The 18,128-nt window shown below is 38.1% G+C and overlaps 1 protein-coding gene across 1 annotated transcript in view; it reads right to left on the reverse strand.

The window, feature by feature from the left end:
- PCOLCE2 (procollagen C-endopeptidase enhancer 2) overlaps positions 1-18,128 on the reverse strand; it is a 71,210-nt gene that overhangs the window by 13,423 nt on the left and 39,659 nt on the right. The window contains exons 3-5 of the mRNA NM_013363.4: positions 16,921-17,176; positions 11,628-11,752; positions 7,474-7,610 (exon numbers count right to left, since the gene is read on the reverse strand). Coding sequence (NP_037495.1) covers positions 7,474-7,610; positions 11,628-11,752; positions 16,921-17,176 — 518 coding nt within the window. The remainder of the gene's footprint in view (positions 1-7,473; positions 7,611-11,627; positions 11,753-16,920; positions 17,177-18,128) is intronic.

An 18,128-nucleotide genomic window follows, 5' to 3' on the forward strand; every position in this document is an offset into this window, starting at 1 on the left:
TTATAAGACGAGAGACCTGAGTTAGCATGCTCTGCCCCCCTTGCCATGTGATGCCCTGTGCTGCGTGGGGACTTTGCAGAGAGTCCCCACCAGCAAGAAGGCTCTCCCCAGATGTGGTCCCTTGACCTTGGACTTTTCAGCCTCCGTAACTATAAGAAATTCTTTTTCTTTATAAATTACTCAGTTTCAGGTATTCTGTTATAGGCAACACAAAACGGACTAAGACACTTCCAGCCACAAAAGTGATGAAGTTATTTAAATAATGCTTCTGAGATTCGAGCCTTTCACGAAAATATTCTATCATGCTTTTGAAAAACACTCCCATTAAATAAATAAAAACAATGCACTACACACAATTCTAACCTACAATTACAAATAAAACATGTTAATTTTGTTTAAATGATAAAATTACAAAAAAAGCACTTATAAGCAGCAAAGGAAAGGAAAGACTCAATCAGGTCAGCCTTCTAGACATGATGTTATAATTATATGATCATTCACTGCCTTTTCTATGAATTAACCTTGGGGGTAGTATATTGGAAACTGAATTTTCTCAAGGAAGAGTATTTTAGGAACAAAGACATATTTTTGTTCTGCTGCAACTGAGCTTTAGGATAAATGTGACAGAATCACAGTGCCACAAATGTACTGGGGGCCATGTTACATCTGCAAATTGTTATAAATCACTAGGCAGACAAGAGGAAATTTCACTTAGATCCACTCTGCATTGGCAAATCCCAAGAACGGACTGAGATGCTGTTTCATGTGGTATAGAGCCAGTTACTGTTAGCTGTCTCTAGTTATCATTCCATAGTCTTCCTGTCCTTCAGTCACTACAGCCAACCAAACACCATGTCCTGCCATTTTTGCCTCCTAAGTATTTCTTGATCCACACCCTCCTCTTCATTTCTACCACCCTTCTCCACCTCCTCGACTTTACCTGGACCATTGCAACAGTCTCTGAACTAGGCTCCCTGCTCACCTTCTCTAGGACGGGGGTTCTAGAGCCTCTGGTCCTGTCACGCCTGGCCTAAATTCAGTTGAGCGTTACCATCTCTGCAGCACACGGAAGCCAACTCAACCCTCCTGCCTCATCTGTATAGAGGCCCCAACTCAAGGTTTTGGCTGCAGAAATAACACACATCTCTCCCGCGTATCTTTATTAATGGAGTTACCTCTGCTTGGGATGAGCTTGTCCTCCCTGCTGTCTCTAACTCCAACTCTTCCTTCAAGACTCATCTTCGAGAGGCACAATCTCCTTTCAAAAGCTTTCCCTGATCACTTGTCCAGACTGGGCCAAAGAACTCAAAAACCCACCCAGGACATTCATTAGCCAATTTACTTATCTGCCTTATTCTGTTCCCTCCCAGTACTTTTCTTTGCAGTTTTAATTTATCTTTGTATTCCAGGTGCCCAGCACACAGCCGGGGAGGAATCAATGTTTCTGAACAGAATTCAATGGCATTGATCTACACTGAATCAAACCAAGTATGATGGGGTGCTGTCTACCTATCCCCAGTGCTCCTCCTGTTCATTTTTTAACAGGGAAAAGCTCCCCAAACAGGTTTTCTCATTTTCTGCACTGCTCTAACCCAGACGTATTCTGACTATGAAAACTATTCCTCTGGATAAAAGTGTTAGTTGGTGAGCTGGCAGCCAAGCTCTTCCAGTCAAACCCCTGGTAAATGAGTGATGCTCAATAGCCGCCGCCAGGGCTGCCCCTCCTCCACCCTCATGGAGGCAGCCACTACCCTGAATTTTGTGCTTATCATTTTCTTGTTTTTAGCTATAGGTTTATCACACACATATGCATCACTATGCGATATATTGTGTAGGTCTACATGTTTTTAAACGTCATAAATGAAAGGGTACAGTGTGCATTTTTTTTTTCTTTTTTGTTTTGTGTTTTTGAGACAAGGTCTCACTCTGTCGCCCAGGCTGGAGTGCAGTGGCATGGTCTTGGCTCACTGCAACTTCCATCTTCTGGGTTCAAGGGAACCTCCCACCTCAGCCTCCCAAGTAGCGGGGATTACATGCACTACCAGGCGACATTAATTGTTTTGTATTTTTAGAGATAGGATTTCCACATTGCCCAGGCTGGTCTCGAACTCCTGAACTCAAATGATCCACCTGCCTTGGGCTCCCAAAGTGCTGGGATTACAGGCATGAGCCACCACGCTCAGCCTTTTTTTTTTTTTTTTTAAACCCTCAACATTATAACTATGAGATTCATCCACTGTTTTCATTGCTTTATAGTGTGCACTATAACACAATTTAAGAATTCTCTTGTTGATAAACATTGGGCTATTTACTCTCTCCCACCCTCATTACAAACCATATTGCTGAGAACATTCTTGTATATGTCTTGCAGTGCAAAAGTGGTCGTACCAATTCACACACCTTTCAAAGGTTTATTCACTATGCAGCTTTCTTCTTTTGGGAATGCCTTTTCATGTCTTTTACCCCCTTTTTTTTCCTACTGGGTGGTTATCTGTTCCTTGTTAATTTTTAGGATTTCTTAATACGTTCTGGAACCTAAGCCTTTGTCAAATATATGTTATAAATATGTTTCCATTTGTGGCTTTTCTTTTCCCTCTCTTTCAGGGTATATTCTGATGAACAGAAATTCTCATCTAAGTTTCTCATTTAAGTTTCTAATCCATCTGTCATTGATTTTTTGTGTGATATTAGCTATGAATATAATTTCATTTTTCCATATGAATAAAAATAGTCTAGGCCCCATTTTTCAATGAGGCCATCCTTTTCCTGCTGACTGATGGTTCTCTGTGACGGGCCCAATCTGCAGATACATGTGGATATGTTTCTGGCCTCTCCTTGTTGTTTAATTAGCCATCTACCCATCACTCTTTTAAAACCACACTGTCTTAATTACAACAGCTTTCTGATAAGGTTCCATACATGGTAAAGCAAGTCTTCCTGCCAGGTTCTTCTCCTTCAGAACTGTCTTACTTTTGCCCCCTTCTTCCTATCCCCTTGCAATCCCATGCACATTTTAGAATTAGACTGCTAGGCTTAATGGAAAACCAGTTTTAATATTTTTAAATGATATTGAGTCTTCCTATTCATGAGCATTGTATATAGCTCCATTTATTTAGCTCTTTTAAAATATATTTTAGCAAGGTTTTATAATTTTCCCTATTAAGCACATTTTTATACTTATTCCTGAGCAGGATTTTTATTGCTTTTAAAATAAATTTTTTTCAAAATGTAAACTTTTAAGTTCAAACTATCTAAGAAAAGACATTTGTGAATAAAATGATTTTTCCATTAAATAACATAAGTCCACAAGTCACACTTTAATCTGGTGAGGTATAAGGTTAAATTAATAAAGTTTCTAAATTCAAACCAACCTTGGATTCCTGGTCATAGAATTTTTTTTATACATTGCTAAATTTGGCTTGCCAAGTTTTTTGTTTCAGCGTTTCTTTTTTATCATACTGATAAATGAGATTGGTCTCTAATATTATTTTCTTGTACTGTCCTTACCTTGTTTTTGTGTCAGGTTCATACTAGCTTTATAAAATTAGTTGTGGAACAATCCCTATTTTTCTCTGGAAGATTCTGTGCAGTATTAGAAATGTCTGTACCTCAAATATCTGTCAGAACTTTTCCTTCCTTGACAGGAAAACCTTTAATTACTGATTAAATTTCTTTAGTGATCATTTGGCAAATATGGCTTTTTCTTTCTCCTGTGTCCATTTTTGCTTGAAAAAAATAGAGTTTCTCCAGTTGCTGGATGTAGTGTTCTCTATTTGTCTATTAGACCAAGCCTGTTCATTGTTTTTCAAATCTTCTACCTCCTAATTTCCCATCTTTCTCTCATTAACAGTTAGTTAATCTGTTAATTATTGAAAGAGATGTGTTAAAAATCTCTACTACAATAATGAACTTTGTAGATCTGCCTTTCTTAATTTTTTAATTTTTTTGCTTCAAATAATCTTATGTACAAGTTTACAAGTTTAAAATTTTACAATTATTACATCTGCCTGATAAATTGCATCATTTATCATTTATATAGCAACTATTTCTGGTAATGCTTTCTGCCTAAAATTGATTTTTTCCTAATATCAATGAAGCTATGCCAATTTTCCTTCAATTAGTGTTTGCTTCTAATCATTTTTATATCCTTTTATTTTCAAACTCTGTTTTTATTTTGGGGGGATGTGTCTTGTAAACAACATATAACTGGATTTTGTTTAATTATTTAGTATAACACTTTTCTATTAATTATTTGGTCCATTTGTATTTATATTGATTACAGTTATATTTATAGATATACCTATATATATCTAGATGATAGATACATTTCTACCATCTTATCTTGTACTTTTTGTTTGTCTTTTGAGACAGGGTCTTGCTCTGTCACCCAGGCTGGAGTGCAGTGGCACGATTATAGCTCAGTGTGGCATCGATCTCCTGGGCTCAAGTGATCCTCCGCCTCAGCCTCCTGAGTAGCTGGGACTACAGGTGCATGCCACCATTCCCAGTTAATTTTTTTAAAAAAATTTTACAGATGGTATCTTACCATGTTGCCCAGGCTGGTGTCAAATTCCTGGGCTCAACTGATCCTCCAACCTCAGGTTCTCAGAGTGCTGGGATTATAGGCTTGAGCCATCACACCTGCTTTGTCATGCTTTTGAAAATATTTCTCATTTTTTCTTTTCTTACTTTCTTTTGCACTGAATTTTTTGTCACTTCATGTTTCCTTCCACTGTTTTGCAAGTTAAAAACTGTATTTCTACTGTTTCTAATGCAGGCATTATCAACTTGGAAGCTTTAAACTAAATTCTTGACCTGTTTTTTTGGGGACAGTCAGGTAGTGTAAATTCTAACCCCAAATGTTGGCTGGTTTTTGGTCAGAAATTCTCATCGGAGACTATCCGTTCCTTCACCAAAAGCCAAGGCAAAACCAGCCAGTTTTCCTTACTATCTCCCTTAGGGAAGGGAGAAAGTTAGCTTACTTATATTGGTGTCAGCTTCTCTGGGTCCCTTTTCTATACATGCTGTGGTCTTTGCTCCAAACCCCCCTGGCCTGGACCCTGAGCTTTGTCTCTTGTCTGCAAGCACAGTCTGTTAGAATGAAGTGCTAGGCTTCCAGGAACTGGCACATGCCCCGGGGGAGCTGCCATCTTCAGCATGTGCTTCTCTCTCTGGCTTTGGGCTTCTTACTACTTTTGACCTCTGATGACTTCTCTTATTTTTTGACAACTCAGCGATGCTTTCAAAATTTTTTCTTAATCTTTAGGAATGTTGTTTAGTGTTTATTCTATAAAGTTTTCAAGGATATCTTATCTTGCATATTGCTAGAAAATGAAGCTTGAAATTACTTTTTAAAGGTATTTGGATATGAAGAGGAGAGACATGGAAGAAAAGTTAGACCAGGACAGAGTCAATAGAGTTTAAAACTTTTTTTTTTAATTTGGGAGAACTTAGGTTTATAGGCTATGGGGAAGGAATAAAAAGGGAGGTAGAGGATAAACATGAAGAAAAAGAGGAGGGTTAATAAATGGAGGAAAGTTTCAAGGGAAAAAAGGAGGAGGTCCAAAGGAAGACATAGATTAATGTGTTGGCTTTCAATAGGGTGTGTAGTCCCCAACAATGTCCACATCCTAATCCCTGGACACTGTAAGTATGTTTCTTTATAAGGCAAAGGGGCTTTGCAGATGTGAGTAAGACTCTTCAGAAGAGGAGAGTGTCCTTTATTACCTAGGTAGGCCCTAAATGTAACCACAAGTGCCCTTATAAGAGGGAGATTTGACTAAGAAGAGGAGACAGAAGCAGCGACTGAAGTGACACACTTTGCCGATGAAGGAAGAGGGCTACAAGCCAAGGCATGCAGGCAGACTCTAGAAGCAGGAAAAGCCAAGGAAACAGATTCCCTTTCAGAGCTTTCAGAAGGAAACAGCCCTGCCGACACCTTGACTTTAGTCCAGTGTCTGGCTTCCAGAACTGTAAGAGAATACATTTGTGCTGTTTTAAGTCGCTGCACGTGTGGCAATTTGTTACAGCAGCAATGGGAAAAGAATTATCTAGGAACTTAGAAATAGGCCCTTCTCCAATATATTCATCTGTAAACCAAATTTGGGTATGGTTATGCTTAAATTATAACTACTATCTTGTATGTATTAAAACATTCTTATCAATGTAAATGTAATAGAAAATACCCTCCTTTAACTCAAATATGTCAATGAAAAACCATAATAATGCATATAAAATCAAGTGATGCATATAATCTAATTACGTTTAAGCAACAGAGTAGAAAAGGGTATTTAAATTGGCATAATGGTGACTTGAAGGCAAGCTGCAGTAATTTCAGCTGTTGCTTTTACTAATATTGTAAGTGAAGTTATGAAATATCTTGCACCAAAATACAGTTATATATTGCACCAGAATTACACCAGAAATAGTTATATATTGCAGTTATATAAATGCAGTTACATAATTACACCAGAAATACAGTTATATATTGCAGCAGAGTTAAGTAACTTGCTCAATGTCACACAGTTATTAAGTGGCAGAACTCTTGGCTCCATAAATGTTTGTTGAATAAATACATGGTGCCTTCAAGGTCCACTTAGCAAAAATTTGGATAGCAATGTGAGGGGGAGGCATAAGGCCTCAAACAGTCCAGGACAGATCTCTGATAAGGTAAAATCATTTGGGTTTGTCGTAAACTTCTGGGTCTCCTTGTCTGGATCCCCAGTATTAAGCCCCCTGGTTGTTTTTGTTTTGTTTTGTTTTCAGAATTTTCCCATTCCACTCTGATGCTTGATCTCATTCTTACAGGGCAGTGATGTATCCAGGTACCCGGCTCTGCATCTGACCCTGGGGTATCACCAGCTCTACTTGTTTCTGTTTGGCTATTGACACTCCTGTTAATGTTGCCTCAGGGCCTGGGTTGGCTATTCTTTTTTGGTGGTGCTGACTCCATGGTTATGGGACTTGTAGTGGTTTGGATCTGTGTCCCTGCCCAAATGTAATATAATCCCCAATGTTGAGGAGAAGCGTGGTGGGAGATGACTGGATCATCAGGGCGGTTTCTCATGGTTTAAACACCATCCACCTTGGCGACAGTGAGCTCTCTGCTCTCTGGTCATTTAAAAGCATGTGGCACCTCCCCTCGACCTTGCTTCTACTCTGGCCATGTGATGTGTGTGCTCCCTCTTTCCTTTCCACCATGATTGTACATTTCCTGAGTCCTCCCCAGAAGCAGAAGCCTCATGCTTCCTGTACAACATGCAGAACCCTGAGCCAATTAAACCTCTTTTTTTAAATAAATTACCCAGTCTCAGGTATTTCTTTACAGCAGTGCGAGAACTAATAGAGGACCCAATAATTTAACAAAACAACAACAACATAAAATCTTCCAGAAAACAAATGTGATTGGGAAACTGAACAAGAAACAAGTTTAGAGCCATAAAACTATTAAAGACATAAATAGGTGCTACTTACGCAGGTGGACTATCACCACAATACTTTCCAATTCTTCTAGCATCGTTGACTTCCCCGCCATTAAACACAGCCACATAATCATATCGGCAGTAGTTATCTCGCTCCACATCAAACTTCTCAAACTTTAATTCTATAAGCTTTAGAGAAAGCACAATAGAAGTGTCAAATATTAATAGCATTGTTGAATAACCTCAAATGGAATTCTTCCTCTCCCCAGATTTGGAGGATACTACGATTTTCCTTTGTAAAAAAAGTATGCATTAAGTGCTTTTTGTTGCATATTTCTTATTTAGTTAAAAAAAAAACTGTGGTATTCTTTTGCTTTTAATTGTAATCTTTCCAAAAGATCATCTCAAACTCAGATCAACTCTAGTTAGGATATTCAACTTAAGAACTCTGTTCACTTACAGCTACAAAAGTATGGGAACATTATGTAACACTAGCAACCTACTTTAAGACTATAATTGGTTTTGGAGATCTATTGTACAGCATGGTAACTATAGTTAATAATAACATATAATAAACTTCAAAATTGCTGAGAGTAAATTTTTTTTTTTTTTGAGACAGAGTTTCACTCTTGTTGCCCAGGCTGGAGTGCAGTGGTGCAATGTCAGCTCACTGCAACCTCTGCCTCCCGGGTTCAAGCAATTATCCTGCCTCAGCCTCCTGAGTAGCTGGAGTTTCAGGTGCCCGCCACCACACTCAGCTAATTTTTGTATTTTTAGTACAGACGGGATTTCACCATGTTGGCCAGTCTGCTCTCAAACTCCTGACCTCAAGTAATCCACCTGCCTTGGCCTCCCAAAGTGCTGGGATTACAGGCATGAGCCACCATGCCCAGCCGAGAGTAAATCCTAAATGTTAACACCACATTCCACACACAAACAAAATAATAACTATGTGAGGTGGATATGTTAATTACTTTGATTGTGGTAATCATTTCACAATGTATACATATATCAAAATATAATGTTGCACATGATAAATATATATGTTGCACATATAAATATAATTTTCACTTGTCAACTATACCTCAATAAAGCTGCAGAGAAAAAGAAAAAGAAAGAGAAAAACAAGATTGTAATTGGATAACTGGATGTGTGTTATAGTGGGAAAAGGGGCTACATACCTTAATAGAAGCTAATAGAAATAAAAAGTATTATCTAAGATGCTCCTTATACTACTGTATGTCAGGGAGTAGTAGTGTGTGTGAATATATGTGTAGGAGGGTGAGCTGAGTGGATAGAGTTGTTCCCCTTTTGAGGGAAGGAGACTGACATTTCTATCAGATGTAAAGAAGTCAAATTTTCAGGACCAGTTATTCAGGGAAGTGGAATTGATGGCAGTGTCTTCTTGAAGTATGTTTGAAATGTGTGATACCGTGCACGGCCTAATCAGGGTGTGGTTATTTTTGAAGAGGTTGCACAGAAGCACTGATCTACAAAGTCAGTGTTAGGTTTTTAGTATTTCTCAATTTTTTGCACTAGTACCAATAATAGTGTCCTAAATTATTCACGTGAATAGAAAATTTTGATTAAATAGGCAATCAATCATTCCCCATACAAGCAAATGTTTAAAAGAACATTTCCAACATGTGAATCAAAGGAAACCTCACTGGATTTATTATTACCTATGACAGCTGGTACCCAATCTTGCCGAGCAGCAAGTGGGCAAGAACCCTCCTTGCTACTTCAGGGAAGATAAAGGACATTAATTCCTATTAGCTAGAGAAGACTCAAACACAGTAATCCAGGTGAAGATGATAATAGCAACAGCATCACAGATGGACACAAAGGTAATTTTGGCTTTGACCATAATTTCCACACATCTTTGGACTGAACTACCTTTTAAAAAGTCAGTGCCAGTGATAGGTGAATAATGCTTATTCATACTTAAGATGGCTTTAAATTGTATTAAAATATTTCCTCTTTGGGTCCAGTGACTTCTTACCACTTACTAATAAAATGCTTTCCAGGTTATTAAAAAAATTGGCGAACTTTTTCTACTTAGAAATTAGTCACAAAGGCTGGGCGTGGTGGCTCACGCCTGTAATCCCAGCACTTTGGGAGGCCGAGGCAGGCAGATCATGAGGTCAGGAGATCGAGACCATTCTGGCCAACACGGTGAAACCCCATCTCCACTAAAAATACAAAAAATTAGCCAGGCATGGTGGCGGGTTCCTGTAGTCCCAACTACTCAGGAGGCTGAGGCAGGAGAATGGACCGAACCCGGGAGGTGGAAGTTGCAGTGAGCCGAAATCGCACCACTGCACTCCAGCCTAGGTGACAGAGCAAGACTCCGTCTCAAAAAAAAAAAAAAAAGAAATTAGTCACAAAAACTTTTGCAGAGAAGATTAAAAAAAGTAAAGAAGAAGATAAAGGAAAAGAACTGTGGTAACAAATGATGGTAAGGTAATTCTTTAATAGAAGAAAATTCCAATGAAATTCCTTCAATACAATAATTCCCTTGCATAGAAACTATTTAGGACTTAATTTTCCCATTATATTTTTCTCCTTTGAGAAACTGCCAGTGATTTCAAACACAGTGATTAAGAACTCAATTGACAGAAGCCAAAAATCACATTAAAATCAAATAAAAATCAAACTTAACATTTAAATGATCAAAGGGAAGAACAATGGAAAAGAGATGCTTAACTGTAATCTGCAAGTATAATTAAGTTGGAATTATTTGGTCAAATATATTTACAAATGTCACAGAGAAAATGATCAATATAATTTCAAGAATTACATAATGGTTTAAATGTTTCAGAAACACAATTTTTAAAATTACTTTATAAAACATTCAACAGACTTATAAAATCTTCCATTATTAAATAAATGGCCATATATTTCTTCTTAAAAATAAAACCAAGTTTTGGAATTATGATCACTGTTTATGTCTGTATATATGTGTATATGTTCAAATCACTAACTTGCATGGTATATTAGCTTAAATAATTTTCTATAAAAAAAGAAATACATGACAAATGGTATCTGTTCAAGCTATATGAAAGGTTAATTTAGAAAAGTTTTTTTAAAAACAGTATCATAATGTTTACCTCATAGTGTTTGGGTTAAAGTCTATAGTGTTTCTAATAGTAATAATTTTTATAAAGTTATCTTTAAAGGTCCACAAAGTAGATTTCATGTGTTTCTATGCTAAGTTCTTTCCTGCAATTAATATGTGAAACTGGTTCCCAGAAAGGGTAAAAAGTTGTATATGTAACCACAAATTAATAAATACTGGAAAAGTCGACCTTCTCTGTTGATTATTTCAGAACAATGAATGAAGCTTTTTGTGGGGAACCTGCACATATTTTATTTTAAATGACAACCAAAAACACCCTAAAGCAGACCAGCTTGTTCTTTGAAGAGATAATGTGGCTTGCTTTTGTTGGCTTTGTTGAGGCAAAGCATCCACACTTTTTTATTTAGTCACTAGAATAACTATTATCAGGACATGATGGGTTTGTGATGGGAGCAAATGGTAACCTGAAATGTCCATGGACCTGGGGATTTTTATCCTCCCACAGTTAGTCGCTGCTGCTTATAACATCCACTGCAGGGTTAAACAATCCTATGTGAGATCTGCTTACCATTTGTATTTTTAAAACTGTTTTGAAAATTGTCATTATATAGCAGGAAATTAAATCCATGAATTTGCAACTCAAAAAAATGCAAAGGCTAGGCCGGGCACGGTGGCTCACATCTGTAATCCCAGCATTTTGGGAGGCTAAGGCAGACGGATCTCCTGAGGCCGGGAGTTTGAGACCAGCCTGACCAACATGGAGAAACTCTGTCTCTACTAAAAAAATACAAAATTAGCCGGGCGTGGTGGCGCGTGCCTGTAATCTCAGCTACTCGTGAGGCTGAGGCAGGAGAATCGCTTGAACCCAGGAGGTGGAGGTTGCGGTGAGCTGAGATCGCACCATTGCACTCCAGACAGGGCGACAAGAGCGAAACTCTGTCTCAAAAAAAAAAAAAAATATCTGGGGTCTTCGCATGAAGAAATACCTGTGTCCAGGAACCTTCCTCTTCTTGTATCCCTTAGCTCTCGAATAGCCCCCACAACAGGAGGCTCTTGAGAGTTGGTGGGCCCCCCACACTGGGCAATTCACACATGCATGCTTTCTTCACACTTCCAGGGAATCTCACCTGATTCTTTGGGGCTACAATGTGCCACACACAAGTGACTCCTGCAGGGTAATCCCGGTCTGGCCAGTTGGGGGTTTTAAAAGAGCCGGAAGGTCTGTCAAGGAGTCCTCCACAATACTGATCCCCTTCAAGTATTAAACAAGGAAAAAAGCCCACAAGTTTATGTAGGTTACAGCAATACAACCATGTGGAGATTAGGAATGTGGGATCTTTGGTGAGAGTACAGTAAATAAAGGCAACAGCAGAAGCGCTTACATTTTCTCTTAAACATATGGTTACATACATAACCCCCCAACACACACAATGAATGATCTTTGTTACCTGACATAGCATAGCAACACGAGAGAGGGGAGAAGTGGACTCAGGGCCTCTTTTCTTTTTTTTTCCTTAGACAAGGAAGACAAAACATTTGAATATGCACTCACTCAGAAAGCTTGCAGGCTCAAAAAATCATAGAGATGTTAAGGCTCCTCAAGGCATTGGTATTTAGTAAACACCCAGGGACAAAATTTGAATTAGTTGATATAGACAGCTCTCATTACTAGAAAACTTCCCATGATATATATATAATATGTATATAATATATATATGTTTTAAGAATAAATTTTGTTTGTAAAAATAATATTTACAAATTTTCAGCAATACAGAAAGGCACAAGGAAGGAAGCAAAAATATACCCCCAAATCCCCAGTTTTAGCCACCAAAAACTCATCAAAATTAATAGGTGACAAATATCATTTCAGGCATCTGTACTCATAAGTTGCATATGTACCTGTAGGTTGGCAGAAATAATGTAAGAATTATTTTAATACGAAGTTCTAAATTTAATTTTACTTGAATGTAAATAACAAATAAAAACTGAACTGAAACTAAAATAATTATACTTCAATGGAATATTTCTTTGACACAGAATATATCCAACCATTCTTAAATCAAACTTCTAAATTTAAGATAATGTATTATAAAAATGGAGGTTGGAATAATTTCTAAATCTCCATTTAATGAAAAATTTCAAGTATATACAAAGTAAGTAGAATAATATAATGACCTCCTACATATCCATTACCCAGTTACAATAATAGTCATCATTCTATTATTCTATCTATATTGCCACCCAATCCCCACGACCTGCTTCATTGTTTTTATTATTATTATTTTACAGGTTTTGGGGAGAGAAATTCACATACTCTGAAATGCACAAATCTTAGCTGTACAAATCTGAAAAATGGATATACCTGTGTAAACCACACTCCTATGATGATATAGAATCCATTTCCCACTAAATTTGTGCATCTCTTCCCATCCTGCCAGTTCTCTACACTACTTTTCTGAAAAACTTCCCATTAGATGAGTTTAATTTTAGAGCTCCATATAAATTTGTTTACCCATTCTCCTGCTGATGGGTGGTTTCTAGTCTGGACTATTGTGAATGAAGCTGCTATGAACAGTTTTGTACACATTTGTTTGTACATGTATCTTCATTTCTCTTATATAAATACCCAGGACTGCAACTGCTGGGCCAAGAGTCGATGTAAATATTTAACTTCATAAAAAACTACTGGAACTTTTCTCCAAGTGGTTTTACACCTCTCTCGAGTATGAACACTTCGGTTGCTTTACATCTTTGCTACCACTTGGTGGTGTCAGTTTTTCTAGCCAACATGGTGGGTAAGTAATGGCATCTCACTGTAATTTTAATTTGCATTTCCCTGATGACTAATGAGAGATACTGAGTAGTTTTTCATGCACTTATTGGCCATTCATATTTTCCTCTGTGAAGTGTCCAAGTGTTTTGCCAATTTTTATACTTACTGGAATCTTTACCTTTTTATCGTTGAGTTGTATGAGTTCTTTGTATATTCTGAATACAAGTTCTTCACCAGACATTTTTGTGAATATTTTCTCCCCTTCTGTAGGCTATTTGTATTTGTAACCATGTCTTTTTATAAGTATTAGTTTTAATTTTAATGAAGTTTTGTATTTTTCCTTTTACTTTCAACCAACTTGGTCTTTGTATTTCAAGTGCTTTCTTGTAGACAACATATAGTTGGGTCTGGCTTTTCAATCCATTCTAACAATAACTGTCTTCTAATCAGAGTATTTAATAATTTACATTTAATATATTTATTGATCTTCTTGGATTTAATGTGCCATTTACTACTTTTTTCTATTTGCTTTACCTTTCTTTTATTCCATCTGTTTTTCCTTATAGCCTTCTTTGGGTTAGTTGGATAATTTTAGTATTCTATTTTAATCTTTTGGCTTTTAGTGATAACTCCTGCATTTTTAATGGGTTCTCTAGGGATTATAATATGCATGTTTAAGTTATCAAAATTTACTTAGAGTTAATATTGTACTTCACGTGTTGTATATGTATGTGCAACAGTGTAATTACATTTATGTGTCCATCCTTTGGTTGTCAAACATATTACATCATACACTATATATTCCACAACACAGTGCTAAGGTTTTTTTGTTTTGAACAGATACATGTAAAGAAATTAAGAGAAGAAAAGAAAATAACATATACCCTTTTATATTTACTATTTCCAATGACCTTCATTCCTTCTGTTACTTTCATTTTACAAGGTCATTTACCTCAACCTGAGGAATTCTCTTCAATATTTCTACCAGTGTAAGTATAAAAATGCCTTTCAGAGATTTTTAGTGTTTATCTGAAAATGTCTTCATTTTACTTACATTCTTGAAGGCTGGCTATAGAATAGAGGTTGACAGTTTTATTCCAGCGCTTTAAAAATACTGTGACAGGCCAGGGGCGGTGGCTCACACCTGTAATCCTAACACTTTGGGAGGCCGAGGTGGGCAGATCAACCTGAGGTCAGGAGTTCGAAACCAGCCTGGCCAACATGGTGAAACACCGTCTCTACTAAAAATAGAAAAATTAGCCAGGCATGGTGGCGCATGCCTGTAATCCCAGCTGCTTGAGAGGTTGAGGCACAAAAATCGCTTGAACCTGGGAGGTGGAGGTTGCAGTGGGCCGAGATAGCACCACTGCACTCCAGCCTGGTCAACAAGAGTGAAACTCAGTCTCAAAAAAAATACTATGACACTGCCTTCTGGCTTCCAGTGTTTCTGAGGAAATGGAAGCCATCATTCTTATCACTCTTCTTCTGTATGGAATTTAGTTTCATCTGATTGATTTCAAGATTTTCTCTGTCTTTAAATTTCTGTAATTTAATTATAATGTGCATGGGGGTGCTTCATTTTTATTTGTCCTGTGGAGTTTGTTGACCCTCTTGACTCTATTTTTCTTATTTTCATTATTTATTTTTTAGATGGAATCTCGCTCTGTTGCCCAGGTTGGAGGGCAGTGGCGCAATCTCGGCTCCCTGCAACCTCTGCCTGCAGGTTCAAGCGATTCTCCTGCCTCGGCCTCCCGAGTAGCTGGGATTACATGAGTGCACCACCATGCCTGGCTAATTTTTTTGTATTTTTAGCAGAGACGGGGTGTCACCATGTTGGCCAGGCTGGTCTTGAACTCCTGATCTCAGGTGATCTGCCTGCCTTGGCCTCCCAAAGTGCTGGGATTACAGGCATGAGCCACTACGCTCAGCCCCTCTTGACTCTGTGAGTTGATATTTTTCACTGTATTTGAGCAGAGTCAAGTCATAATATCTTTAAATATTTTTTCACTTTATTATCACTTTCTGGGACAAAAATTACAGATGTTAGACCACTTGATATTGTCTCACTGGTTTCTCGAGCTCTTTTTCTTCAATCTTTTTCCTCCTTTTTCTTCAGATTGAGTAATTTCTATTTAAGTTCACTGACTCTTTTTTTCTGCCATCTCCCATCTACCTGTGAGTACAATAGGTAAATTTTAAAATTTCAGATCCTGTTTCTTTTATCTCTAGAATTATTAATTTATTTTTTAATAGTTCCTGTTTCTCTTCTGAGATTCTCAATTTGTTTATTTATTATGCACATATTTCCCTTTATAAATCCTGAAACAAACATGTAATAGCAGCTTTAAAGTACTTGTTTGCTAATTGCAACATGTGAGTTACCTTGAGATCAGTTCTTATTGACTGCTTTTGTCCTTGAATAGGGACACACTTTTCCTGTTTCATTACATAACTACAGACTGGACATTATGCATGATACATTATACTCTAGATTCTGTTGTGTTCTGATAAAAATAATTTTGTTCTAGCAGGCATTTAACTTGGCTAGACTCAAACTTAAAGTCTGTTTCCCTGGCAGCAGGCAGCAGCTGTAATCTCTTTTCAGTTCTTTCATTTTTCAGCTGATGCTTTTGTGCCAGGCCAACTGGGCTCTCCTCCACATATGTAGAGTTTAGCTGTCAGACAAAGATTTCAGTAGATTTTATACGAATATTTTGTGCCTCAATTCTGTAACTCCCTGCCTGGATTTCCTCCCCAACATTCTGGCTGCTCTTTCAGCCCCAGATTCTGTCCTCTGACCTTTCAAGTAAAAATGTTGCACTACAGTCCAATCCAAAAGCAGATTATGGACTGCTCTTGGGTAAAAGGCTGAAAACATACAAATATTGCCCACTGCAGTGATCTTTCAAAAGTAGAGATTTCTACGCTTGGGAGCTCACTATATCTCATATATCTGTGTGTGTGTATATATATATTTGTTGTTGTTTGAGACAGGGTCTCAACAACACCCAGGCTGCAGCACAGTGGCATGATCACGGTCACTGCAGCAGTGACCTCCCTGGGCTCAGGTGATTCTCCTACCTCAGCCTCCCAAGTAGCTGGGACAACAGGTGTGTGCCACCACACCCAGATAATTTTTGTATTTTTTGTAGAGATGGGGTTTCACCATTTTGCCCAGGCTGGTCTTGAATTTCTGAGCTCAAGAGATCCACCTGCCCTTGGTCCCCCAGTGTTGGGATTACAGGCATGAGCCACCATGCCTGGGCTCCACTTTTATTTTTTAAAAGCTATTGTATAAGTACTCAAATAAAAGCAAGCACACATAGAAAGGTATGGGAACCACTGGCCATGGCTATTTCTGGAGAATGGACTATGGAGTGGTGAAGGGGTGTGTTTGCATATTTGCATGTGTGCTTATGTATGTAAGCTCCACATTTTTACTCTATGAATTTCTATACTTGATTTACAAGAATGCATGTGGACTTAAATTAAAAGGCTGATTTTTTGTATTGGTCTCATCATGGTTTGATGGCATTCACTAGCTCTTTGAGAACCACTCTTAAGCTTTAAAGGAGTAAATAAACATCAAGTGCCAAGAACAGTGAACCAACATTACTGTTGTTATTGCCATTATGTGGAAACAGTACCTCTTTCGTTTGGTTCAGCAGCGGAGAACATGGCCATGAAGCCATTGCCAGCTGTGTTGGCATCAGAAATCATCTGCACCATCATCTTGTTGCCACTGGACACAAGGGCTCCAGGCCGGAAAGTGCCACAGAAGCGGCCAATGCGCTGGCCATTGGCATGGCCATTGTACACATCCACAAAGTCATAGCGGCACAGGTTGTCACTCTCGAGGTCTATGAATCGGAAATTGAGAACGACTACTTTTCCTTCGGGAACCTGCCAAGAAAAGCGCCAATTAGAAAACTGTCATGAAAACAATATCTGAGGCTTTGACATCTAGTCACTTACTTAAGTGTGTAAAGTATAATATCCAAGATAATGCTTTTTCCTCTCTCATATCTGAACTAACCCAAGGGAAGTTTTCTAGCATATTGCATTCCTAAAAAATTTAAGTACTTATTTTCTTTTGACAAATTCTGCAATTCTCCAGGATTCACAATCTTATTCCTTAAGAACTTACCTCAACAAAGCTGCAAAATATTAGGTCAGTATTATTAATAGATGAGTCATTGCTTAGAATGAATACCAGTCCTGATTGGACCTTAGCATATATTTGCATATTCTAATACCTAGAGATATTGCTTAGCAAAGAAACATTTAAAAATATCATTTCTTGGCCAGGCACAGTGGCTCACATCTGTAATCCCAGCACTTTGGGAGGCCGAGGTGGGCGGATCACAAGGTCAGGAGATCGAGACCATCCTGGCTAACACAGTGAAACCCCGTCTCTACTAAAAATACAAAAGATTAGCCGGGTGTGGTGGGGGGCGCCTGTAGTCCCAGCTACTCGGGAGGCTGAGGCAGGAGAATGGCGTGAACCCGGGAGGCGGAGCTTGCAGTGAGCCGAGATCGCGCCACTGCACTCCAGCCTGGGTGACAGAGCGAGACTCCACCTCAAAAAAAAAAAAATCATTTCTTACAAATAATACAGTAGGACGCATTCAATGCCTGTGTATAGAATGTTTCTATGAAGTTCAAAATAGAGGATTTATTTGGCAATTGTGTAGTTAATTTACAGATAATTCATTTTGGGTCCTGAAACATCCAGATGAACTACCGATACTGACTAAATGAACTGAGTAATTGCTGAATCATCTCTTCTGAATGTCACTAAGTTTTTTGCTCATTTGTTTTCCAGGTGAAGACTTTATATGTCAGGAAGCCTTGA

Source organism: Homo sapiens, chromosome 3 (assembly GCF_000001405.40).
Source record: "Homo sapiens chromosome 3, GRCh38.p14 Primary Assembly".
Lineage (NCBI taxonomy): Eukaryota > Metazoa > Chordata > Mammalia > Primates > Hominidae > Homo > Homo sapiens.